Source organism: Homo sapiens, chromosome 5, assembly GCF_000001405.40.
Source record: "Homo sapiens chromosome 5, GRCh38.p14 Primary Assembly".
NCBI lineage: Eukaryota > Metazoa > Chordata > Mammalia > Primates > Hominidae > Homo > Homo sapiens.
This window is the reverse complement of record NC_000005.10, coordinates 178,602,356-178,628,203: the sequence shown is the minus strand read 5'-3', so window position 1 is coordinate 178,628,203 and position 25,848 is coordinate 178,602,356. Positions and strand designations below refer to the sequence as shown.

Genomic DNA, 25,848 nt, shown 5'->3' with positions numbered 1-25,848 from the left:
GGCACAAGTTTCTATCATGTTAGATCACTAAAGGTATTTCCGTTCCCTCCTTTCACCTAACAGGATAACAGGTCTCCCACATGCTACTGGGCTAATACCCGCAAGAGTTCAACCCTACCCTCCCAAATTTGATTTCTAGCTTTCCCTTTTATCCAGCGAATCCCCGTCAGAATACAGAAGCCAACCCCCACCCCGCCCGCCGTCCCCCCCCACGATCTTCAGTCTCACCTAAACCCTTTCCCTCACTTACGCCCTTCCTTGCTTTGACACCCTATTCTTGGTTCTCCTCCTCTGCTGATCATTCCTTCTCAGGCCCCTTTCCCTCTGGCCCTTGAGTGTTCCCCACAGGGCTCCGACTTTGACCCTAATATTTCTCATGTTACATACTTACACGGGGGAACTGCCTGAGGGTCCTCAGAACTGCAGAATACCTTATTTGAGGTAAGCAAGCCCCATAACGGACTATCACTAGCTCAGAGACATTTTTCAGCCTTGAATAAAATCAGCCCGCAGGGACAAAAAAAAATGGGGAAAACTTCGTTAGGGAAACTTCCAGCGACCTTAACTGCTCAGGAGGTAGGGATCCTAACAGGAAAACCTTGTCAGGAGTCTCCATTGAAACCTCCGGGTTTTTGTTTTGTTCTGAATAGGAGCACGTGCCTTGAAAAGATTAGCACCCCTTGAGCTTGTTTTCTGAGACAGCCTCTTTGTCCGAATCCACCTTAGACTGGAAGCGCCAAGTGGGCAGGACAAGCACCCAGTCCAGGGAACAGCCCAGGGACCAGCCAAGGCCCGCCCTAGGCGGTTTTGGGGCCGTTGTCGGGTGCCGGCTGCGGGAGTTGAGGTCCCGGGGGAGGGGGCAGACACGCGGTACACACTGAGGGCGGGACACGGGCGTTCCTTCCCGGTTCCACCCGAGCCCGTAGAGAACGTAAACACCCTCCCGGCCTAGAGGCCCCGGGACCGGGTGGGCGGGGGGGGGGGGGTGGAAATGCTTGGGCCGCGCAGCCGCAGTGTGGAGGCTCGAGCCCCGCTCTTACGTCACGTGGAGCCCCGCCCTTAGGTGGAGCGGCGGGAGCGCGCAAGGTTCTGTCACGCAGGCGCGTTCGCGCGGCGTAGGTGGTGCTAGAGGCGACTCGGGGGATTCTAGGGCGACGGCGCTGCCGCCATTTTGTGGGGTGTTTGTCGCAGCGGCCGAGGAGGGAAGACGGCAGTTTGGCGACATTTCTCGGCCGAAGGGCCATTTGCTTTTGCGGAGGTAGGGTTGCAGATGGTGTGTGCTGGGACAGGCGGCTGTCGGTCTTTAGGTCTCCGAGCCAGGTGTCGGAGAAACGACCGCGTTAGGGGCCTGGGCTTCTGGAGCTGAGTTGGGAGTTCTGCGAGGCGCTGCTCGGCTGGTGCACGCCGGCAGCACCGAAAGTTGCTCGGGCGTCGCGGTTCTGCCGCTGACCCTTCTCTGAGGGCCCTGGCCGCTCGCGTCGCGGCTCCGGAGGCCGTGGGCTCGCGGTCCCCTGCTGCCTGGCGAGCGCGGCTGTTGGTTAACCCTGTCGGGACCTCTTCCAGCCGGCGGGCGCTAGGACCTGTCGGGAGACCCTTCGAGAGCCGTCTCTGGCATTCGTGTTGTCGGAGATCAAGTCTTCCCCTGGATTCCTGGCCTGGGCCGTTTGTAGCGTTTCGGGGGTTTTCCAGAGTCAAGCATTTGCCCCTGTCTTGAGTGCGCCAAAGGCACTGGCCGGGTGCCCAGGAGCCGGGAGGTGGGGACCGGGCGTCCGTGCAAATCCAGGTGGTTGAGGGCAGTAGCTGCTTGTGAGAGGTGGAAATTTGCGGAGGCTAGTCCTCTGTGCTATGCTGAACACAACATTGTTGCAGCGAACCTGCGTTTCTGGTGGTTTTGCATCTTATTATCCCTGGTTGCCTAAATAGTCCAGATAGGCTTATCCGATCCTTAGGAAACCGCCCCGCAAACTGAACTCGCCAGCCACTTTGTCTTGCCTCATAGCTGTCCTGTGCGATTGTGCTTTTTACACACCCCTACAGGCTTGTAACCCATTAAATGCAGTCCTCTTGGAGCCATCCAATCCTAAACTTATAACCTGTTTCGATGTTTTTAAGCCATGTACGTAGCGTAAAGTTGTCAAGAACTACAGGATCTTAAGGGCAGTGGCGATGGATCTACATATGAGATCCATTGTGTCATTATTTTTTGAAAGATACCTACTCTAGCATGTGGGATGCTTTATTAGAGGCAGTGTCATGATTCTAGATAGCTTTTCTTTTTTATGTATGCGAAGGAACCTTACCACGTAGAACGTGGGTCGGGTGATCTTTGTGCCTCCAGATAAAATATTTTTGAACATTGCAGGGTGAGTGGGGGAGGTCAGAGGCTGGGACTAACAGCTGAATTACATTTGAAGTAGTGAACTTGAGAAGAATTTTGGACTCTCACAACGGAGCTCGTTCTTATTTTAATGTTTGCATATTAACTGATAATTTGAGAGTTCTGTTTTGCTGGAGGTTAGCTGGTTGTAAGCAGACTTACAGTAGAAGAGGAAAAAACAAAACTGAAGAAGATACATAAGTCTTGAAAAAAACTTCATAGTAATGGAGGGTCATAATAATAACGCTCGGTCATCAGATGTGATTTTGCTTGCTATGATTTAAAAATGCTTAACCAAGCTGAGTTCCTGATGTGGTTAAAATACAACTTTGGTATTTGACGGAACGCTTCAGAAGAACTGCACTTGAAATACACATTTTCTTTTTTTTTTTTTTTTTTTTTTTGAGACAGGGTCTCACTGTCGCCCATACTGGTATGCAATGGCGTGATCATGGCTCACTGCAGCCTTGACTTCCTTGGGCTCCAGTGATTGTCCCAGTAGGTGGGACTACAGGCTCGAGTCACCATGTGCGGCTAATTTTTTGTATTTTTTGTAAAGGCAGGGTTTCGCCGTGTTGCCCAGGCCAGTCTCGAATTCCTGGGCTCAAGGGATGAGGCGCCACTGCGTCCAGCCATAAATTTTTCTTGATAGCTCTAATGAAGAAAGTTTGTGTTTTGGCCTTTTGCCTCAAGTAAATGTGTGCTGTTATTCATGTCACGTTCCCATATGGAAGTGACTCCATTTGTATCAAACCGGAATGCTCACTTCCATTGAGACGCTAACAAGAGTTTTAGAATTGCTGTTTGGCCTGATCAGTGCCTTCTCTTCCTCTGTAAAGTGAGCTGAGAGCCACCTTAGAAGGATGCTTGATGGGTATAGAATTAGAATCAGCAAGAGAGTGAATTAAAATATCTGACTATCTGGTGGCAATCAGACTCTGATGGCGTGACACATACTTTCTTGTGGAATACCTCCCAGAAGAATTGAAGCTGCCTCACTCCAAAACCTTTAATCCATTTAAAATCATTTAAATTTCTGCTTGCATTTGTTTGCTTATTAGTCATTTGGGCAAGCTGAATGAGGTTAACTGAGTGGGTTTTACTCCATTTTAGCTTTTTTCAGCTCCTTGCTGAATTGTGAAATTCTTCTCTTTTTACCATTTAAACTCACCCTGTTTAGGAGAATTTGGACCTGACTGTTAAAACTTAACTGTTTTGGAAAATAATTAAGATGGGGAGAGACAGATAGGGGTTATATTGTTTGAGCGCAGATGCTGAGCCTGGAAGGAACCCAGGTTATGCACTGGAGTTTGTAAATAAAGTCAGCTGTCACCGTTATCGTTTGCTTTCACTGTGACCATGCTTCAGTGTGCATCCTTGTAGGTTGAGTTCTTTTTCAGAGTTACTCCAGATTTACTACAAATAGATTTTAAGGTTAAGAATAACTGCTGGATAAGAAAATGAACTTGTTGGATAGAGAAAATGAGTTCATAAAATCACATAAACATTTAAAAAAATTTTTTTTGTAGAGACAGTTTCACTATGTGTAGCGCAGGCTGGTCTCAGACTCCTGGGCTTGGCCTCCCAAAATTCTGGGATTACAGGCATGAGCCACCGTACCCGGCCTAAAATCACCTTTTTATATCTCTTCAGTTTCTCTGTTGAATATTGTGTTCTATCCACACAGAACTAATATTCTCAAAGCTTAGAGTCATTCTGAGATTTAGAGAAAAGAACTATGGAGAATTTGAGAAAAAGAAGCTTCATCATTGAATAGCTCTTTACCATTAAAACAAAGTCACCTCCCATATTTAGTATCCCTAAGTGTTTTTGTCTTGCACTTCAGTTATTTGTATTACAGTACTTTGCCAAAGCTGCATGACACTGATATTATTTCTCCTTAAATCAGCTCACATTTTAATGTTAACATTTTTAAAAGAAAATATGTCAATAACTTAATTGGAAAATCACTAATAAGTAGAAAGTAACAAAATAAGATAAATAAAAACGTTACTAATTTTTAGCTAAATACTCTTGTCTGCTGGAAACACTAGGCCTGAACCTTTTTATTTGCCCCCCCCGGCTTTTTTTTAATTTTTAAAAAGGCAGTTAGCAAGTGTTAGTTGAAGACAAGCACCAAGCTGAGAATTTGTCCTGGCTGTAATCAGAATTCAAAAAAAAAAAATGTCTTAAGGTATCAGTATTACCCACAATTTAATACTAGATCTCTATGCCTCTTAGCAGTCATCTGACATACCAGTGCCTTGGGAAGCATTACCACCTAAAAAGATTTTGGAGCCTGTAAGACCCTGTGTGTTGGGTTTTGATAACTTAAATAATATTAATATATAATAATTTACCTATCACACATCTGTAACCTCCACAATTCCCTTTTCATTTCTATCAACAGATGCGGCATTCCAAAAGAACTCACTGTCCTGATTGGGATAGCAGAGAAAGCTGGGGACATGAAAGCTATCGTGGAAGTCACAAGCGGAAGAGGAGATCTCATAGTAGCACACAAGAGAACAGGCATTGTAAACCACATCACCAGTTTAAAGAATCTGATTGGTAAATTAACTCTTGAACTACTAGCATTTTAGCTCTAATAGTTTTAAATGATTTGTCATTTGCTTATATAGCTTTCATCTGTCAAATTGTTTTATAATTCAGTCAACAAATATTCGTTTAGAAAATATTTGAGTACTTATTTTAGATAGGCGCTGAGGCTACAGCTGTAAATAAAACAAAGTTCTTATCCTTATGTATGTCTGTCTGCCTGGGAGTGGTAGGAGACAGTTGATCAGTAAGTGAATGTGAAATGTATTAAATAACATGGTGAGTCCCAACTGCCAGTAACGTGATTAGGGAGATGACACACAAAAAGTTAAGTAATAGTGATAGAATGCCCAATGAGTACCTTTAACTTGTATGTAGGAGGGAGATGGGTATGTTGTAGTGCTCATTGTTTCAGAAATAAGGTAGGGTTTTATAGGGGAGGAGTTATTCCAACAGAGAAAAGCAGCATGTATTATTAGTCACTTATACCATGTCGTACAGGTTATATTTGTAGATGAGGCCAAGGGATATGTTTGGGATTTTTAGAAGCTGGCTTTATTTAAGAACTATTCTTTTGCATAGGTAGTAGCTAGTAATTTGGGAAATGGCCTCAATAAAAACTTGCAACAGCATGTGTGCTGTTTTATTGTATTCTTACCAGTGTACAATTTGGAGGTAATATATTTATATAGAATTAAAGGAATCTTAAAGTTCTAAATGATTAAAGAAAGGCTAGGTAAGTTTTCACTCTTTCATTAATTTCCCTTTTTCGTTTGTTTTGTTGGTTCTGTTTTCTCGTTTTGTGCAGATGTTCCATTGGGACTGTTTACCAGATTGCTTTCTAAATTAGCCAGCTGGGGTTACTTTAAAAAACAGTATGTAATTTCTTTCCTTCTCCACGTTAACAGACTTGTTCTGCCAAACAGCTTATTTGTAGTCAGTGCAGACAAATCATGCTTCATACGCATTGTTATATAAGGGGAAGGGGGAAGGTTTATGACAGGATTTCAGAGACCAGAGATAATTAATAATTAATGTACAGTACACTAAAAAAAACCATCTGTACCCCACTATTAATAAATACAAAAAACCCTAAGGCTTAACGTCATAGTACTGGTTATTCATAGGATAATTATACGTTGTATATATAGAAAGGAAGTGATATGAGTGATGAACAGTTCATTTGTGCTCATAGTTAACTACGTAAACATGATACTGAGTCCAGTTAACCACCAGGCCAGTGCCTGCTTTGATATTTGTACCAGATGTGTTTGGTGGTCAGCGTTTACCATGATCCAGAATATTCTAATTTTTGAAGGTCAAAAACTTTGAGTGTTTTTATAAAATAACAAAAAACTGAAAAATGCAGAAAAGTATAAAGATGGTAATCTCTGTAGGAAATTAGTCCCCATTATTTAGCTGTAAAATTATAATTAAAAAAAAAATCTTTGTTTCTAAATCTTTGCCACTGATTATTTCCTGAAAATACACTCCAGGAAGAAGCATTTTTAAGTTAAAGCATGTGAACTCTTATTTCTTGCTACAGGTTCATATTTCTTTTTCTAGAGAGTTTGCCAAATTATACAACGTGCTCCTTCATGCTCTCACCAATCTTGGCTGTTTTGAAAGGCCAAGCATAATGTTTTGATTAAACTGAATTTTTAAATTTCTAACGAATTTGTCCGCTGTCATATATTTATTGATCATTTGAACATCTTTTTATTCTTAGCCTATTTATTAAAGTATTTTTATTGATTTAGAAGAGCTTTTTATTACAATATTTTAACCATTTGTCATATATATATTGCATAGTGTCTTTTCTTTATGATTTGTCTTTTGGAGGTAGCCTGTGAATTGGTCTCCCTTTCTACAGGCTTAGTTAATCCATTCTGCATTAGAAAGACTGATGTGGCTGTAAACCCTACCTTTATATATTGTGGTCAGAAGCCTGTAACATAAAGTATCAAGTCTTAAACCAGTGATTCTCCAACTTTAGTGTGAATAAGAATCACCTTGGAGGTATGCTGACCAGATTTACAGTCAGTGAGTATGACCTAAGGCCCAGGGTTACCATTTTTAATAAGAACTCCATATTTGATACTGTTGATAAATAGACCGTCCTTTGAGAAATAATACTCTTTAGCCTAGCACGCAGGGTTTTTAATGATGCTATTCTCAGCTTACTTATTTGTCTACATTCCCCTATGTGAAAATTGCTCTTGCTGGGATTGTCTTTTTCCTGAGTAATGCATAGACAATTCCATCTCTAAGCCATTGTGGCTAAAAGTGCCATATGAATTTAAGATGGTAATATGCCATTCTTCTCCCCCGGAATTTCTTCTGTATTCTACTTTTTCCAAATCCTGGCTTCCCTTTAAGATGCAACTCTATTTCCATCTTTTTTGTAATTATTCTCTGACCATTTTAAACAGATTTTTTCCCCCATCTCTGACTCTAAGCACTCATGTGTTGTAACCTTTTAGAATTTCCTACATTGTTGGATTTTGTTTCATTTTTATGTGAGTAATCTCAAATTGTTCATTATTTGTTGGCAGGGACTTTGCCTTATATAATTTTTTTTTTATCTCCCACAGGACCTGTGTGGATATAAAAACGAATGCCCTTACCCTCATCCGTCTTGGCTATTTGAAAGGCTATAGTGAAATATTCACTGGGCATTCAGTGGATATTTTAAAAAATTAAATCAGTCTGTTCATCCTGTCTACCCTGTCCATAGCCTGTGTAATTCTGTAGACTTTGTTTATATAATCTCTCAGCCTTGGTCATTGGCCATTATCTATTGAAGAGACTCTCATCCTTTTAGTTTGTCCTCATGGTGTTCACTCCATGTTTTGTTACTCTATACGTTGTTTATGGCTTAGCAGCTCTAATTCCATGCAGTATTCCAGCTAAAGATTGTTAGTGCTAGTTTTTTCTAATAGAAGGATTTTGGACTTTTATGGGAAGGATGCCCTTAAGAGTATGGTCACGTCTAGCTTATTGTATTGGTGATCTCTCCCTGACAGTTCCAAGCCAACTGATCAGATATCTGACCTAGACTACCCACAGTCTTACCCAAATATCCTGAGTTGTTTCTCCAATAAATACAACTTAAAGCTGATGCTAGGGAAAGAGAACCGGGTTTCTGTATCTCCCCAGCCTGGATTTGATGCTAGCCCTATTGGGTAGTAGTTGTAAAGATGCTTCTATTTCTGCCTAAACCAGCCCCCTGGGAAAAAGAATGACAGCATATTCTGGGGAAAGGAAAGGGGTTGGTGAGGGCAATCTAGTCAACATCCGTCACTCCATTGCTTGTTAGGCTTATTTTAGCCGATGTGTCTGACTGGGCAGGTGTCCCCTCTCTCCCTCAGTGCTCCATGTGCATCCCTCTTGAAGCTTCGCACTCTGTTGAAGAGGACACTCATCCCAGGTAGAGAGGGGGACGGGAAACTGGGCCAATTGAATCTATGTCCTTTTCTTTCCATCAGATCAAGGCCACTTAACTGGGATCCATTGACATCCTGAGGCCCATGACCTTTGAAATTCCTTGCCAAGTTTTGTTTATGTGTTTCTTAGGAAAGAGAGTCCATGGCTTTCAGCAGATTTTCAAAGGGATCTCTAGATTAAAGCACGATGGCACTAGATGATGGTGTTTTCTGTTGTTTCTTAGGTATTTCTCAAACAGGAATGACAGGAAATTAGAAATGCAAAGGGAAGTAGGGTGGTGGAACTATTGTAATGCTAAACTACAGGATCCCTTTCTTATTTTAGGGGGATATATTTTAGATGCCTTTGGCACATGAGGCAGTCCTCAAAAGCTATGTTTTCTATTTCTCAAACAGGAATAACAAGGCTAGAAATGCAAAGAGTAGAGGAGACATGATAGATGCTGTGTGTAATAAAATTGGCCTGTATAATAGTGGTTTGAAAATATTTTAGTTTTTGTCACTAATGTTGTTATACAACCTTGGTAAATCATTTTTCTTCTAGGGATCTTAATGTAGTCGTCGGTAAAATGAAAGGGCTGGAATACATTTAAGGCTCCTTATAGCTCTAATATACCTTTCATGAAGGAATTCTCTCTGTGCCAGGGATATCTAAAATGCTCTTACATTACAAGAGAAAGGAATCCTTTTTGCCTGCCTCTGATTGTACCTCTGTGAGAGACTAAGACAGCTTAGATACAGGTGCAGAAGGTAAAGGAACACTTAATCAAGTAAACACTAGACATGAATTAATGATTTGACTCAAGCTTTATTCCTTGGTGTGAAGTGCTTGACAGCAAACTCTATAATGGGCCCATTTGCTTGTTTGTTAAAGTAAAATTATTTCTTAAGCTTTATGAGATAAATATAAATGCTAATTCATCTGTTTGAATTTTTTTCTTATATTGAGTTAGCTGTTTAAGAATTTCTGAGAAAATGTTTTGTTTGAACCACATTATTGCAGAATGAAGAGAATAATTTGAAATCTTTTAATGTGTTTGCAGTCATTATTTAGAAGCAAGGTCCTTGAATGAGCGAGATTATCGGGACCGGAGATACGTTGACGAATACAGGAATGACTACTGTGAAGGATATGTTCCTAGACATTATCACAGAGACATTGAAAGCGGGTATCGAATCCACTGCAGTAAATCTTCAGTCCGCAGCAGGAGAAGCAGTCCTAAAAGGAAGCGCAATAGACACTGTTCAAGTCATCAGTCACGTTCGGTATGATTGGTTTTGTTTTCAATTTGAGTGGAGTTTTATTTGTGTGTACTCTTAACGAGCTGATAAGTTTCTAATTTTTTATATATATATATATAAAATACTATTTGGATATATTATAATTGTATTTATATTACTTAAATCCTTAAAGGAAACCTCCAAATTCTTGTAGCTGATCTGTATATTTATTAGCTAGCCCTCATTTGCCCACATTTCCTCATATTCTGCAGACCAGATAATGAGTTTATTGATTTTAATAATAAAACTATTTTTTTATTTGTAACATATTCTTATGAAAAAATCATGCACCCATATCTTTTCTTTCATCTTAAGCATTTTTTTTTTCTTAGAAACCCTTTATCTGGTACTTGAAAATAAATGTGAAATATTGCACTGGTGGACACCTGAATGTTACTAACCTGCATAGAGCATAGTTCCATAGTCCAGTGCATCATTGTCTGCAATGAATTCTTTTGAAGTTGTGAAAATGGGTGCTGAATGGGAAACATCCAAAAAGTCTGCCCCCCCCTTTTTTTTTTTAACACTCAGACATCTTCACCTGCTTGAACAGTGAACTTTGAATTAGTTTCTCCCCAAGTTTTCTTCAGTAAAACTAGTTTTTATTAGATTGAACATTGAAATTAACTAGCCTTTATTTTCCCCTTTTATTTTAATCATGTATATTTTAAAATATTGCTAAATTAGAATAATTTCAAATAGTCTTGACATTTTAAAACATTTTTCTGAAAAACTAGACATCTCAATTCACAGCATATGCTGTTTATAGCAAGAGATAAGTAAATCATGACATTGCATTCTTTAAATTTCAGACTTCAATTAAATCAGTATTTTAAAGAGACAATTGTGTTGTTTTTTTCTATTGCCACTTTAAGTATCTTATCTGAAAATCTGTTCCTTGCCATGTTTTTCTTCTGTAACATAAACTGTGCCCTGTGAATTTCTGGGGACTGAATTTGAAATTGCTCCTGCCAACTGTTCGTGGCCTGGTGCTTATCTGAATGCCTGAATATCTCCCCGCTGAATGAATTGCGTATTCTGCCCTGAATTCACTCTGATATATTGATTGGCTGGACGATCTTGGTGCTGCCCACTTGCCGTTCCAGAAGAGCCACCGAAGGAAAAGATCCAGGAGTATAGAGGATGATGAGGAGGGTCACCTGATCTGTCAAAGTGGAGACGTTCTAAGAGCAAGATGTATAGAATATTTTTCAACACTTTTTAAACTTTGCAGAAAGAATAATCTTTTTAAGAATAGTTTGTCAGCGGGGGGCTAAAGAACTCTTCATTGCTTTTTTATTTTGCTTTTTGTGGGTTTGTTTGTTCTTTTATATTTCTTCTTTTCTGTAGAATTTAAATATTTCTATTCTAAAGTTCCAAAATAATCAGTGGAATTTGAGATTAGAGCAAGAAAGATAGCTCTATCTAATTGTTTTTGTAGCAGCTGAAACTAAAATAATTTGAGTGCTGAAACCTTAGTTATGCTTTGTTAGAGATCATTTGAAAATATTCCACACTTAAGCATTCATTGTTTGAAGAACTAGACAGTTTGTACTCAGGTACTTACACCTCTTTTTCCCTCCTCACTCTAGATGAAATCGTGGACACTTTGGGTGAAGGAGCCTTTGGCAAAGTTGTAGAGTGCATTGATCATGGCATGTAAGTTTGTTTTTTCCTTTTCAAACATTCTGATGTTTTTGGTGGGGAAAGATTCATAATTCAGATGAAATTTTATTTATTTATTTATTTGAGATAGGGCCTCTGTTGCCCAGGCTTGAGTGCAGTGGTGCTATCTTGGCTCACTGCAACTGCCGCCTCCCGGCTTCAAGTGATTCTCCTGCTTCAGCCTCTCAAGTAGCTGGGATTACAGGAGCCTGCCACCACACCTAGCTAGTTTTTGTATTTTTAATAGAGATGGGGTTTCACCGTGTTGGCCTGGGTGGTCTCGAACTCCTGACCTCAAGTGATCTACCCGCCTCAGTTTCCCAAAACGTTGGGATTACAAGCCTGAGCCCCTGTGCCCGGCCAAGATGGAATATATTTTAAATGGTAGCCACGTGTTTTGGGGGGTAAATTACTCACCAAAGTTTCTTGAACTTTGTATGATTTATTTACCGTGAATGTGGATCTTAAGAATGCTGACTGCCGGGCACAGTGGCTCACTCCTGTAATCGCAGCACTTTGGGAGGCCAAGGCAGGTGGATCACCTGAGGTTGGGAGTTCAAGACTAGCCTGACCAACATGGAGAAATACATTCTCTACTAAAAATACAAAATTAGCCAGGTGTGGTGGCACATGCCTGTAATCCCAGTTGCTTGGGAGGCTGAGGCAGGAGAATCACTTGAACCCAGGAGGGGAGGAAGGCGGAGGTTGCGGTGAGCCAAGATTGTGCCATTGCACTCCAGCCTAGGCAACGAGTGAAAATCCGTCTCAAAAAAAATAAAAATAAAAAAAAAGAATGATGACAAATTTCAACAGGGGGAAATCATTGAAATTAAAGTGGATGTTCAAGTGAAGGAATTTCCCAGAACTCCAGAACTGAGGCCCTTGACCCTGTATATAAGATTTGGCAATTTCGGATTACAGAGGCAATAAAGCATGTCTAATCTTAAATGTTAAGAGTTAGCTTCCTAAACTATAAAGACATTTTATTATCTAGGGCCTAGAGAATAAAGTTTGTGATTTGACCCTTTCTGCCTCATTTTACCGTTTTCCTCTAGGACCTCTATTTTGTGGCTTGAAAACTTTTGTAAGAGAAGCTCTTAGAACTTTTGCGAAACTTCACATTTCTAAAATGACAAAATTTTTTATCATAAATTATTTGGGAAGGATGTAATTTCCAACCTGTTGTAAATATTAATATTAAAAAATAAAACTTACCTCTCTCTAAATGCATTTCAGGGAATCTAAATACCATAGCAGCTTGATACCTACCATCATCCATAAACAAACTCTTCTTGAATACTTAGAAATGTTTTATTATTGAATTTATTGTCATTTCACTTTCCATAAATACTATCCTAAATTATCCCCACATTTTGCTTTTCTGCAACAAATATGTGAATGTAAATTGAACTTTAAAGTATTTTGAAATATTTTCAGACTTACAGAAAAATTGATAAAATAGTTCAAAGAATTCCCATATATTCCAAATGTTAACCTATTTTCCAAATGTTTACATTTTATAAGATTTGCTTTATCATTATACATACATTTGTTTTCAAATTTTGCCAACTAATCTGCAGACTTTATTCAGATTTCACCAGTCATCCCATTAATGTCCTTTTAGAATTTCTTGAAAGTCTAAGTCTTGGTGTATTTAATGAAATGTATCTTAAAAAAAATTTTTTTTTAATGAGATGGAGTCTCACTGTGTTGCTCTGGCTGGTGTGGAACTCCTGGCCTCAAGTGATCCTTCTGCCTCAGCCTCCCATAGTGCTGGGATTACAGGTGTGAGCCTGTAGTCACGTGTGGCACACACCTGTACCACATCTGGCCTGGAATGTTTCCTTTATTGGGGCAGTTGAGGCCTCTAAAAAAATGAGTACATATAGCCATAGATAAATATCTGACTGTCTAGCATTGTATGTTTTCTTTTTTCATTTTCGTGGATACAAGCACTGAGAAAACTTTTTGGTCATATAATTAAATAGATAGGAGTAGAAGCTTTGTCACAGTAATCTTATTAGAGTTCTTTTAAGTCTTGAGGTATATGCCAAGCATTAAAAAATTTTTTTAGTGACTTATCAGTTCACATTCGTTGGGGCCTTGTTGAAAGCAATGAACTGGAAACCACTGGATGTGGAAAAAGGTTTTGTATCCAGCCATTAGAATACGTGTTTGTTTGCCCCAAATGTTTTTATAGCCTAGGGCATACATCCTGTTACACTAGTAAGAGATGGGTATGGTTTTGTAAAGTGGAAGGGTCATAGTGAAAAAGAAGGCTTGAATGCTGGCTCATCTGTAGGTAGATTAGGTTTAAAAAGGAAGACAAAAATAAATTGAAGATTTGCAACATTTATGGCTCTATACTTTTTAGGAAGCATTCTTACAGATGCCGCAGTCTAAAGCCCACTGCCCTCCCCTGTAGCTGTTTCTGTATACTGGCATCAGTGCATCTGCTAAGGTTTTTCTGGGCTTCATTACTTAGAGTTGGGGTCTCCTTTACCTGGATGTTTCCTTCCCAATCTGACAAACTCCCAGCTATCTTTCAGGACTCAGTTCTGTGTCACCTCTTCTGTGAAGAAGTCTAAGTTGTTTCTGTGTCTGTCTTTTCCATTAGACTTTGAAGTACGTAGGGACACACCCCGTCTTTTAATCACTAATATCTGTGCATTGCCTGGCACAGAGTAGGCCTAGCCTGGTAAATGAATGAATGCTTTCAACAGTAGCATATCCTATTTTTGGTTTACATTTGTATATATCTTTTAAAACTGTTGTTGTATAAAATGTAATTAAATTTAAAATTCTAGGAGCAAACGTTAAAACTCATAAGTATTAAGGGAATTATCACTTCATATAAAGTATTTTATCAAAATGTTTTAAGAAGATGTTATATGGAATCTGCTATAATATGTTCTGAAAGATTATTTTAAATGGCATAGAGGAATTGGTAATTAAGACTATGCTTTAGAGCATAACATGGCTTCAGCTCACTCTTGTACATTTATCATTTTTATCTTAATTTTATTTTTAAGGGATGGCATGCATGTAGCAGTGAAAATCGTAAAAAATGTAGGCCGTTACCGTGAAGCAGCTCGTTCAGAAATCCAAGTATTAGAGCACTTAAATAGTACTGATCCCAATAGTGTCTTGTAAGTATAACTTTCACCTAGGAGCCATCATATTACATGAAATATTCAGGTTTCCATAAACTGAATTATTATTTTGCTCTGTTTTAGCCGATGTGTCCAGATGCTAGAATGGTTTGATCATCATGGTCATGTTTGTATTGTGTTTGAACTACTGGGACTTAGTACTTACGATTTCATTAAAGAAAACAGCTTTCTGCCATTTCAAATTGACCACATCAGGCAGATGGCGTATCAGATCTGCCAGTCAATAAATTGTAAGTACACTTGATAAATCTTTATTTTTATTTATTTATTTATTTATTTATTTTGAGACGGAGTCTCGCTCTGTCACCCAGGCTGGAGTGCAGTGGCGCTCTCGGGTCCCAGCAAGCTCAGCCTCCCGGGTTCACGCCATTTTCCTGCCTCAGCCTCCCGAGTAGCTGGGACTACAGGCGCCCACCACCATGCCCAGCTAATTTTTTGTATTTTTAGTAGAGATGGGATTTCACAGTGTTAGCCAGGATGGTCTCGATCTCCTGACCTTGTGATTGCCCCCCTCGGCCTCCCAAAGTGCTGGGGTTATAGGCGTGAGCCACTGTGCACAGCAATAAATCTTTATTTTTAAATATTTTTTATGTTTGTACCTCCTTAACAATTAAGATAAATCTTTAAGCACCAGAAAACTTGTTTTTATTATACAAGCTATATATCCAAATGTTGTCACTAAAAAAACAGACATTTTACAAGTAAAGATGAATCGTCTCTTGACCACTATATCCTTTGCCAGTCCTCCTTTCCCTCCTAGTACAAATTAAGTTTGTAAGTGAAACTAATAATGTGCTTTTGTTCTCTTGTAGTTTTACATCATAATAAATTAACCCATACAGATCTGAAGCCTGAAAATATTTTGTTTGTGAAGTCTGACTATGTAGTCAAATATAATTCTAAAATGGTAAGTTAAAGACTTGTTTTAATTTGGGTGGTTGTCTTTAAAATTAATTTAACTTGATGATCTTTGGATGAGGAATTTCACTTCTGAGCCTTATTATATCCTGTTGTTTAACCAAAAAGAAGTAATCCTTCTTTGCCTTTCTCATGAGCTTACTTTGACAATCAAGAAGATAATTCATGTGCTGGCCTTTTGAGTAGCGCTATAAAATGTATCTATTGAGTTTCATGTTTACTCAACTGTGTCTCTCTAGAAACGTGATGAACGCACACTGAAAAACACAGATATCAAAGTTGTTGACTTTGGAAGTGCAACGTATGATGATGAACATCACAGTACTTTGGTGTCTACCCGGCACTACAGAGCTCCCGAGGTCATTTTGGGTCAGTAGACACCAGGCTTTCTAATATTATAATTGAAGAAGAGATTTTTGTTCTTTACAGCTTTACTGGTGGGGTGGGGAAGTATGATCTTCTCAGCAGGATTCAGAAAACGTTTTCTATTTTCATAAAAAATGTGTGGACATTGCTATAAATACTTTTCCTGAGTGGTAAACATGTGATACTGTCTGGGAAAGATATTCCAGGTGGTGGTTATTTTTGAACAAGTAAATCTTAAATGATCATAAGAGAACAGGCTGTGTTAGCTAAATGCATCAAAGAAATGTGATTTTGAAGTTATATGAGTACCTATTTTCATGCCATCACAAAAGCACATGGCTGGTAAAAATACTGAGGAAACTGGTTGGCAGATGTCTAGAATATAGGATGGATAAAGGTCAAGAGAAGAAAGAGGCTTCTCTAAGAGCTCCTGTGATAACCCTTGATGTGAGAAAGTCTGGGAAAGAAAATGAGTTAAGGTGCAGAGTTTTCAAATAAGAAGGGACTTATTAAGGGAGTGTTATGCCTCAACATTAAAAGTTATAGATCAGGTGTGTTAATAAATCAGGGAAGTCAGAGATTGGCTTGGGAGCTTGGAGACATTGGGAAACATTCAGATCAGGCATATCAAGAGAGTTGAATGTAATAAGCTGATTACTTAGCCTAAAGTTAGGTCCAACTGAGGTTAGATTGTAAAGCATTTTTGTGGAATCGTATTTTAATACTTTTTACTTTTTTTGTGTGTCCAACGGGACTTGGTAGTTCAGAATAGGAGTGTAAAAGCAAACTCTTGATACTTACCTAGAGTAGAGTAGTAAAGGAGTGAGGAAATCAAGAATCCTGTGCAGCTCTTGCCCACAGAACTTCCCTTGATGACGGAAATGTTCCATTTCTGCACTGTCCCATATGGTAGCCACTAGTCACTGTGCGTGACTGACTACCTTGTAGTGGGGCCAGTGTGACTGAGGAGAACTGAGTTTTGAGTTTACATTAATTTTATTTCAGATTTAAACAGCCACATGTGGCTAGTGGTTACCATATTGAACAAGCACAACTCTAGAGCTTGTCTTTTAAATGCGTAATAATAGGGTTTCTGCGTAGTACAAATTGAAAGGAGCTACTGTGTAAGGGTAAAAGAAAGCAATATGGGAAGAGATAGTGGACAGAGAGGTATTTTCAGAGATTAGAAGGCAATAGATTCCTCATTTTAAGAATCAGATTTTTCCCCAAATATTTGGCATTTTTTCTTTGTTATTGGTATATCAAACAGTGGTGCATCGTACAGTGTGCTATCCTAGATTGAGTAAAATATAGTATATAGTAACCCCCCCCTTTTTTTTTTCTTTGAGATGGAGTTTCACTTTGTCACCCAGGCTGGAGTGCAGTGGTACCATCTCGGCTCACTGCAACCTCCACCTCCCAGGTTCGCGCGATTCTCCTAACTCAGCCTCCTGAGTAGCTGGGATTACAGGTGCCCACCACCACACCCGGCTAATTTTTATAGTTTTTAGTAGAGATGGGGTTTCACCATGTTAGCCAGGCTGGTCTCGAACTCCTGACCTCAGGTGATCCTCCTGCCTCGGCCTCCCAAAGTGCTTGGATTACAGGCGTGAGCCACCGCGCCCGGCCAAGGATTTTTTTTTTTTAATTTTTATGTTTTTTATAACAGAGACAGGGCCTCACCATGTTGCACAGGCTGGTCTCGAACTCCTGGGCTCAAGTGATCCGCCTGCCTTGGCCTCCCAAAGTGCTGGGATTATAGGTGTGAGCCACCGCACCCACCAGAATATGGTCAATCTTATTAATAAAGTTCCAAATGTGGCCAAGCAAGGGATAGTACAAATCTGAAATTGGAGTCCCTGGCCTTGAGGAGAAAGAATCAGGAGATTGGGAGAATAGAAAGGTCCTTTGTTTGTGGAGTGAGGATGAAGGCATAATGCAATTGGAGGGGAAAATGTAGTCAGGTGCTAGAGTTGAAGTAGGCAGTTGGCCTTATGTTGGGTATAAAAGCTAACTCATCCAAGAATGAGATGATTTAGAATGGTGTACTGCAGAAGATTACAGTCACCTGGGAAAAGACTAAATTGGGAGATAGGAGTGGTTGAAAAATAAAACTTTTTTTTTTTTTTGAGACGCAGTCTTGCACTGTCACCCGGGCTGGACTGCAGTGGCACGATCTCGGCTCACTGCAACTTCTGCCTCCCGGGTTCAAGCGATTCTCCTGTGTCAGCCTCCCAAGTAGCTGGGCTTACAGGTGCCCGCCACCACGCCCAGCTAATTTTTTGTATTTTTAGTAGAGATGGGGTTTCACCACATTGGCCAGGCTGGTCTCCAACTCCTGACCTTGTGATTCACCTGCCTTGGCCTCCCAAAGTGCTGGGATTACAGGTGTGAGCCACCGTGCCTGGTTGAAAAATAAAACTTTTATGAGGTCCAAGCTCTAGCATTTACGGATTTTGTATGTGTTAATAGGTAGAAACCATGCTCCATTATTTATTTATTTATTTTTTGAGACAGAGTCTCACTCTGTTGCCTGGCCTGGAGTGCAGTGGTGCAATCTCAGCTCACTGCAACCTCTGCCTCCCGGGTTCAAGCGATTCTCCTGCCTCAGCCTCCTGAGTAGCTGGGATTACAAGTGCACACCACCACACCCAACTAATTTATATATATATATATATATATATTTTAAAATTTTTATTATTTTTTATTTTTGTTATTTGTTTATTTATTTTTTTGAGATGGAGTTTTGCTTTTATTGCCCAGGCTAGAGTGCAGTGGCGCAATCTCAGCTTACTGCAACCTCTGCCTTCCGGTTTCAAGCCATTCTCCTGCCTCAGCCTCCCAAGTCACTGGGATTACAGGCGTCTGCCACCACGCCCAGCTAATTTTTTTGTATTTTTAGTAGAGACGGGGTTTCACCATGTTGGTCAGACTGGTCTCGAACTGCCAACCTGGTGATCCACCCGCCTCGGCCTCCCAAAGTGCTGGGATTACAGGCATGAGCCACCGCGCCTGGCCCATGCTCTATTATTATCCATTTGTTCAAATGACAGACACTGGAGCGGATGGTTAACAAAAATGACTTAAGTCATTATATATTGACTTGAATATATTTCTTCTTTTATCTTTAACTTCAGTGATAATGAAAGTAATTGAAATGTCTTTGAATGTAGATTTTATTTATACATTTTTTAACTAAATATTTGATCTTTGAAATATTAAAATATCTATGTGGTTGGTTCTTTCTCCTTCCCAGTCAGTATAGATTTAAGAAGGCTAGATGTTTTATTCTGATCTGAATAATACTGTCATTGAGAATTCTGAAGGAGAAAGTATATAAAATCATGTATAGACAGCGCCGATGTTTATGTATAGATCCCTCTCTGAGCTCCAATGTGTCTGTAATTTCTGCTTATAGGTGAAACTGCTTAAAATTCCCATTATACCTTTTATACAATTTGTGCAAAACGGTAATATTTCTCTTAACGGAAGAAGTAAACTCATGCATCAAGCTGATGATAATTGATAAGGCATTAGTAATTTCATTCTGAGGATAATTATAAACCTGTATTTGTGCTAATAAAATATAAAAATTCTTGGACTAACCATGAACTGAGCATAATAATGGTTTTAACAGCAGTGCTCTCCCATTATATAAACAGTTCAGAGACTATGGAATATTTGCACGAATTGGTTGTATACTTGGAAAATGGTAGCCCCCTTTTATTTTACATAACATGCACCCCTCCCTAGTTAGAATACTGTGTCTTGATGTGAGCATATGGACTATGGAGTGTGTTGAATAGCATTTGCTGTAAAACTAGAACTATAAACCCTGAATTTGGTGTCTTATTCTCCCAAATGGGTTCTGTAAAGGGAGCACTCATATAGGGAAGGATTTAATGTACTGTCAATTAAAAGTTTTTGCATAGTAAAATGTTTCTATTTGTTTTAAAATAGCTTTAGGTTGGTCTCAGCCTTGTGATGTTTGGAGCATAGGTTGCATTCTTATTGAATATTACCTTGGTTTCACAGTCTTTCAGGTACGTGGCTAGTAAATTCCATTTAATAATTCATAACAAATTGTAAACGTTAAAGGTATGCTAAAGTTTTGACTTCCATATTGGAAAATTGCCATACATCATTATTCTTGAGATTAAAACTTAGGCAAAATGGTCATTCTTTAAAACCACAGTTGAATGAAATATTACTATGAGTGAGTGATCATAGTTAATTTTGCATGTGATTAGTGTTTGTAACACATGGTTCATATATGGTTCATACTGTCTCCTTTTTTAAATTGTAGAGCTTCTTCATAAATTTGCAGTAGTGTTAATGTGGCCAGTTTTCAGTTATAGTTATGTTGACTATCAATATGGCCATGAACGAGTCACTTATTCCTTTTTATAAAAGAATTCAGAAACAACAAGGGATTGTATTTTACTCTTAAGTATTAAGCATCTATAATGTCTTAGGCATTTCTAAGTATAAGTACATAAAGGTGAAGAGACAACATCTTTCTCAAGTCATGCAAAAGACATTGGAAAGTTATCGCAGTATAGTGTAGCATTTGCTGTGATGGAACAACGTAGAAAGTGTAGGTAGGGAGGGCCAGGCGGGGTAGCTCACACCTGTAATCCCAGCACTTTGGGAGGCTGAGGTGGGTGGATCATGAGGTCAGGAGATCGAGACCATCCTGGCTAACATGGTGAAACCCTGTCTCTACTAAAAGTATAAAAAATTAGCTGGGCGTGGTGGCGGGCGCCTGTAGTCCCAGCTACTCGGGAGGCTGAGGCAGGAGAATGGCGTGAACCTGGGAGGCGGAGCTTGCAGTGAGCGAGATCATGCCACTGCACTCCAGCCTGGACAACAGGGTGAGACTCTGTTGCAAAAAAAAAAAAAAAAAAAAAAGACAAAGTGTAGGTAGGGAGAACCCAGGAAAGGTTAATAATTACTTTAGAGAAGGCGTCACTGAGAACATAGGAAGAGGAGGAGGAGTTAGAAAACTGGAGTGCAATGGGCATATAAGGAAGAAGAAATAGTATCTGTAAATGCACAGAGGAGTAAAGGAACATATTCTACTCAGGGAAGAATAGCGTTGTCAGAGTGTCTTGTATAAATGGGAAAATTATAACAATAGGCAAGGATCAATTCATAAAAGACTTCGCAAGGTATTGGTTTGATCCTAGAAGTCAGTGGATTCCAAAAGTAGACTGGTCCAAAATGAAAATGGTTGTCTAGGTTTGCCATTCTGACCCTTATTTAGAGATTATCCCTCCTGCTTTTTTTTTTTTTAATGTCTCTTTTATGTAATGATAGTCATAGTTGTTGGTAGTTTGCTTTTAAAAATAAAAAGTCCTTAATTGGTAAAACAAAAAGTAGGAAACTCTACTTTCTTTTCCACTCTGTCCTTAAGTTGTACTTACATCTGAAATCTTAATTTTTTTTTTTTTTTCCCTGAGATGGAGTCTCACTGTGTCACCCAGGCTGGAGTGCAGTGGCGCAACGTCAGCTCACTGCAACCTCTGCCTCCCGGGTTCAAGTGATTCTCATGTCTCAGCCTCCCAAGTAGCTGGGATTACAGGCACGAGCCACTACACCCCACTAATTTTTTGTATTTTTAGTAGAGGGTTTTGCTGTGTTGACCAGGCTGGTCTCGAACTCCTGACCTCAAGTGATCTACCCTCCTTGGCCTCCCAAAGTGCTGGGATTACAGGTGTGAGCCACCGCACCCAGCCTGAAATTTAAATTCTTGAAAGCTTTAGGTGATGCAACCATTGAAGAACTTTAAATAGGGTCATGGTATGATCGAGGTGTTGTGTTGTTTTGTTTGGGGAAGAGGGGCTGGAGATCCCAGCTAGTACTGTTGAGGTTGATTTGAAGTTAGAGCAGTGCAGGGGGCATGCAGCTATGATGGGCTAAGAGTCACTTAGGCAGCTGTTGCACAATGATGAATTCCCTGTTCGTGGGGCACCTCGCCAGATTTCTGTTTCTGTCTAATCTGTAGAGATCCTGTTGAAAAGTACTCTGAGTTTATAGATAAGTTTGATGTCTTAGAATCATGGTTATTAATCAGTTCTGGGAGGTATTGTCTGGTTTTGCAGTGGTGAGCTGTAGGGTCAAGAAAAAGTTAAGCAAAGTGAATGCTTTCATCAATCTGACTAATATGAAATGGATGCTTCCGGTGATTTTGTGATTATAAATCACTTTGAGTTTTAAATGAAGTATATATTATTTGAGAGGTGGTTTATATTTTAACTCCACCCTGCAAAATACTCTTAAACTAAGGAATTTCTTTAAAATGTGAAGCTAGTATTACTTATTCCTGTCATGTATCACAACGATTTGGAAGCAATATGCAAGGCACAGTAGTTGATAGATTTCTTTTAAAAGTGTTGCATACAGCCTCTGCTCTCCAGAACAAGGGTTAGCAAACTTTGGCCCATGGTGAAATCCTGCCTGGTGCCTGTTTTTACAAAAAGAAGAAGAGTATGCAATAGGGACCACTCATGACGAGCCAAGCCTAAAATATTTACTATCTGGCCCTTTACAGAAGTTTGCCAACCTCTGCTCTAGAAGCATACCATTCCAGCTGTAAGTTTGACCGTTTTCTGTATTCTACTTCAGCCAAGCCTCCGTTACTAATTTAAGGATATGTGCTTTGACATGGGTTGATAGCTTAACTTTCCTCATATATGAGCTATATGACTTTGAGGTAGTATCTTAACCTTTTTGAAATTCATGTTCCCACATACCTAGCTCAGAATTGTTTAGAGAATTATTGGGACTGTATGTATGTCTGTTGCCTGGGAGTAGTAAGTGTTAACAAGTGAACTATTCATTGGGTACTGGATGTTAATTTTGGTTAAGCAGCTGATTAAATGAGGAGACAGTTTTTCTGGTAACCTTGCCCAGTTATTCTTTAAACAGTGTAAGAAGTGCAAATAAAGAAGGAAACTAAAATTTTAGATTAAACAAGTTAATGTGTTTGTAGGGAAATGGAGAGTACTAAATTTCTTTTTCTTACATGTTTTAGACTCATGATAGTAAAGAGCACCTGGCAATGATGGAACGAATATTAGGACCCATACCACAACACATGATTCAGAAAACAAGGTATGTTTTAAGATTCAAGACTTTTGTTGGATATGTGCAATAGCATATATTCAAACTACAGAAAACCCAACGTTGTTGTAATACTGATTCCAAGGACTATAGATTTTGACTTTTTTTTTTTTTTCTGTACTGGAGGTAACTTCTAACTTCATCTTACTCCTTTTTTTTTTTTTGAGATGGAGTCTCACTCTGTCACCCAGGCTGGAGTGCAGTGGCACGATCTCAGCTCACTGCAGCCTCTGCCTCCTGGGTTCAAGTGATTCTTCTGCCTCAGCCCCCTGAGTCGCTGGGATTACAGGTGCCCACCACTATGCCTGGCTAATTTTTGTATTTTTAGTAGAGATGGGGTTTCACCGTGTTAGTCAGGCTGGTCTTGAACTCCTGACCTCAGGTGATCTGCCTGCCTTGGCCTCCCAAAGTGCTGGAATTACAGGTGTGAGTCACTGCACTAGGCCATGTTTTTAAAAACTAATATAATAAAAAATATTTACCTTGTGATCTAGTGCAGGGGTCCCCAACCCCTCGGAACTGGGCTGTACAACAGGAGGTGAGTGGCGGGTGAGTGAGCATTATTGCTGCCTGAGCTGCACCTCCTGTCAGATCAGCAGTGGCATTAGATTCTCATAGGAATGTGAACCCTATTGTGAACTGCGCACGTGAGGGATCTACGTTGCATGAAGGTTCCTTATGAGAATCTAATGCCTGATGATCTGAGGTGGAAGTTTGATTCCAAACCATCATCCCTCCTCCCCGGATCTGCTTCCATGAAACCGGTCCCTGGTTCCAAAAGGGTTGAGGACCACTGATCTAGTAAACAAAATGGCTTTTGGGTTTTTTTTGTTTTTTTTTTTTTTTTAACTCAAGTTTACGTTTGCATAAGTGTTTTCTTAAGGCGATGTAAAAATAATACATAGAATATGGAAAAGCTTGTGTTTTGGAATCATATCACTCTAAGTGTGAAATTTATTCTGTCCTTAACCAGCTGTATATTCTTAGACAAGGTGGTATTTCCAAACACAGCTTCATCGCAGAAGCCACCGAGGGAGTTCTTTAAAGATTTCCAGCCCCATTCTAGATCTAGTGAAAACAGAATTTTAGGACTGGATCCAGGGGGCCCCTAGTTTTAAGCTGACATTGTTCCATATGTGATAGGAACAACTTAGTTGAGAGACTAAAACCTCACAGGGTGGAGGATATGAGGTGTCCGATATATAATTGTTGCTGAGGTTTTTAAAAATTGTATGCATCTATATTATATAAGTCTATACACTTAGAGAGAGCTGCTTTCCATGTCTCCCCTCATGGGTGCAGGGTAAAGATACGACTCTTGTTATTTTACTAATCCAGACTTTTTTTTTTTTTCTGTAGAAAACGCAAGTATTTTCACCATAACCAGCTAGATTGGGATGAACACAGTTCTGCTGGTAGATATGTTAGGAGACGCTGCAAACCGTTGAAGGTAAAAGAAAAAAGATTAAAGGTTAAATAAACCACGTGTTTGCACTATTAATAATTTTTTTTAAAACAAAAACATTTCTCCCCCAGGAATTTATGCTTTGTCATGATGAAGAACATGAGAAACTGTTTGACCTGGTTCGAAGAATGTTAGAATATGATCCAACTCAAAGAATTACCTTGGATGAAGCATTGCAGCATCCTTTCTTTGACTTATTAAAAAAGAAATGAAATGGGAATCAGTGGTCTTACTATATACTTCTCTAGAAGAGATTACTTAAGACTGTGTCAGTCAACTAAACATTCTAATATTTTTGTAAACATTAAATTATTTTGTACAGTTAAGTGTAAATATTGTATGTTTTGTATCAATAGCATAATTAACTTGTTAAGCAAGTATGGTCTTGATAATGCATTAGAAAAATTAAAATTAATTTTTCTTTTTGAAATTACCATTTTTAAATACCTTTGAAATATCCTTTGTGTCCAGTGATAAATGTGATTGATCTTGCCTTTTGTACATGGAGGTCACCTCTGAAGTGATTTTTTTTGAGTAAAAGGAAATCTTGACTACTTTATATTCTTAAAGGAATATTCTTTATATACTTCAAATTTAGAACTTAACTTTAAAAGTTTTTCTTCTGTAATTGTTGAACGGGTGATTATTATTAACTCTAGATAAGCAGGTACTAGAAACCAAAACTCAGAAAATGTTTACTGTTAGAATTCTATTAAATTTTAAGTGTTGTATTCTTTTTCATTGGGTGATGTCAGGGTGATAACCAGACATTCATGGAAAGGCATGCAGTTTGTCCATTGTGACAGTTTGTTTAATAAAACCACATACACACTTTATTTAAGATTAAAATCTAACTGGAAAGTCAGCTTGGAAAATGGACATTTCCAAGTATGTTTGGTGAGTCACAGATATAAAAATAGAAATTCTGATGAGAGGTTTCAGTTTTTAATACCAAGTCCTTAGGAGTCTTAACATTGGCCAGCATCTGTTTATCAAATGACATAAATACGTAAACCTATAAGAATTAAGTTTATTAATTAGGCAATTTATGTCTGTGATAATTCTTACGGGAGAAAGAGGATTTGATTGGAAAGCAGTTTGGGAAGAAAGTGCTGCTGAAATTTCCAGAATTTAATTGATTGGTTACATAAACTTTTTGACTTCAGCGTTTGTTGTTGTTGTTCTTTTACTGTCCTTGTTTTCACATAAAAACTATATGGAGCCAGGCACAGTGGCTCACGCCTGTAATCCCAGCATTTTGGGAGACCGAGGCAGGCGGATCACCTGAGGCCAGGAGTTTGAGACCAGCCTTGCCAACATGGTGAAACCCTGTCTCTACTAAAGATACCAAAAAAGTGCTGGGTGTGGTGGCGGGCGCCTGTAATCCCAGCTACTCTGGAGGCTGAGGCATGAGAATTGCTTGAATCCAGGAGGCGGAGTTTGCAGTGAGCTGAGATTGTGCCACTGCACTCC

At 39.4% G+C, this 25,848-nt stretch overlaps 1 protein-coding gene and 1 pseudogene across 1 annotated transcript, besides 3 other annotated features; both read left to right on the top strand.

Annotated features, from left to right (window-relative positions):
* CLK4 (CDC like kinase 4) lies at positions 1,154 to 25,540 on the top strand. Its single transcript, NM_020666.3, has 13 exons — positions 1,154 to 1,258; positions 4,788 to 4,948; positions 9,426 to 9,648; positions 10,770 to 10,860; positions 11,256 to 11,322; positions 14,361 to 14,477; positions 14,565 to 14,731; positions 15,314 to 15,408; positions 15,659 to 15,788; positions 19,746 to 19,828; positions 22,822 to 22,901; positions 24,270 to 24,360; positions 24,447 to 25,540. The coding sequence occupies exons 2-13, from the start codon at positions 4,788 to 4,790 to the stop codon at positions 24,585 to 24,587; spliced, it is 1,446 nt and encodes a 481-aa protein (NP_065717.1). The 5' UTR covers positions 1,154 to 1,258; the 3' UTR covers positions 24,588 to 25,540.
* Positions 1,186 to 1,795: an enhancer, noted in NCBI's record as "active region_23746". NCBI's record gives its function as "activates an Ori minimal core promoter by ATAC-STARR-seq in GM12878 lymphoblastoid cells {active_cell/tissue: GM12878}" and the evidence as "EXISTENCE:reporter gene assay evidence [ECO:0000049][PMID:35858748]".
* Positions 1,186 to 2,208: a biological region, named in NCBI's record as "H3K27ac hESC enhancer GRCh37_chr5:178052997-178053677".
* Positions 1,528 to 2,208: an enhancer, noted in NCBI's record as "H3K27ac hESC enhancer chr5:178052997-178053677 (GRCh37/hg19 assembly coordinates)". NCBI's record gives its function as "activates a minimal SCP1, AML or CMV promoter by ChIP-STARR-seq in naive H9 embryonic stem cells {active_cell/tissue: H9 hESC(naive)}" and the evidence as "EXISTENCE:reporter gene assay evidence [ECO:0000049][PMID:30033119]".
* Positions 8,206 to 8,476, top strand: RN7SKP70 (RN7SK pseudogene 70; annotated as a pseudogene).
* Positions 25,541 to 25,848: the final 308 nt, after the last annotated feature.

Bases quoted from the DNA above. Each gene is read 5' to 3' on its own strand.
- CLK4 (NM_020666.3), top strand. From the start codon at position 4,788: ATGCGGCATTCCAAAAGAACTCACTGTCCTGATTGGGATAGCAGAGAA. The intron at 9,649-10,769 runs GTATGATTGGTT...TTGCCGTTCCAG, and splicing joins CAAGTCATCAGTCACGTTCG to AAGAGCCACCGAAGGAAAAG. The intron at 19,829-22,821 runs GTACGTGGCTAG...TACATGTTTTAG, and splicing joins TTGGTTTCACAGTCTTTCAG to ACTCATGATAGTAAAGAGCA.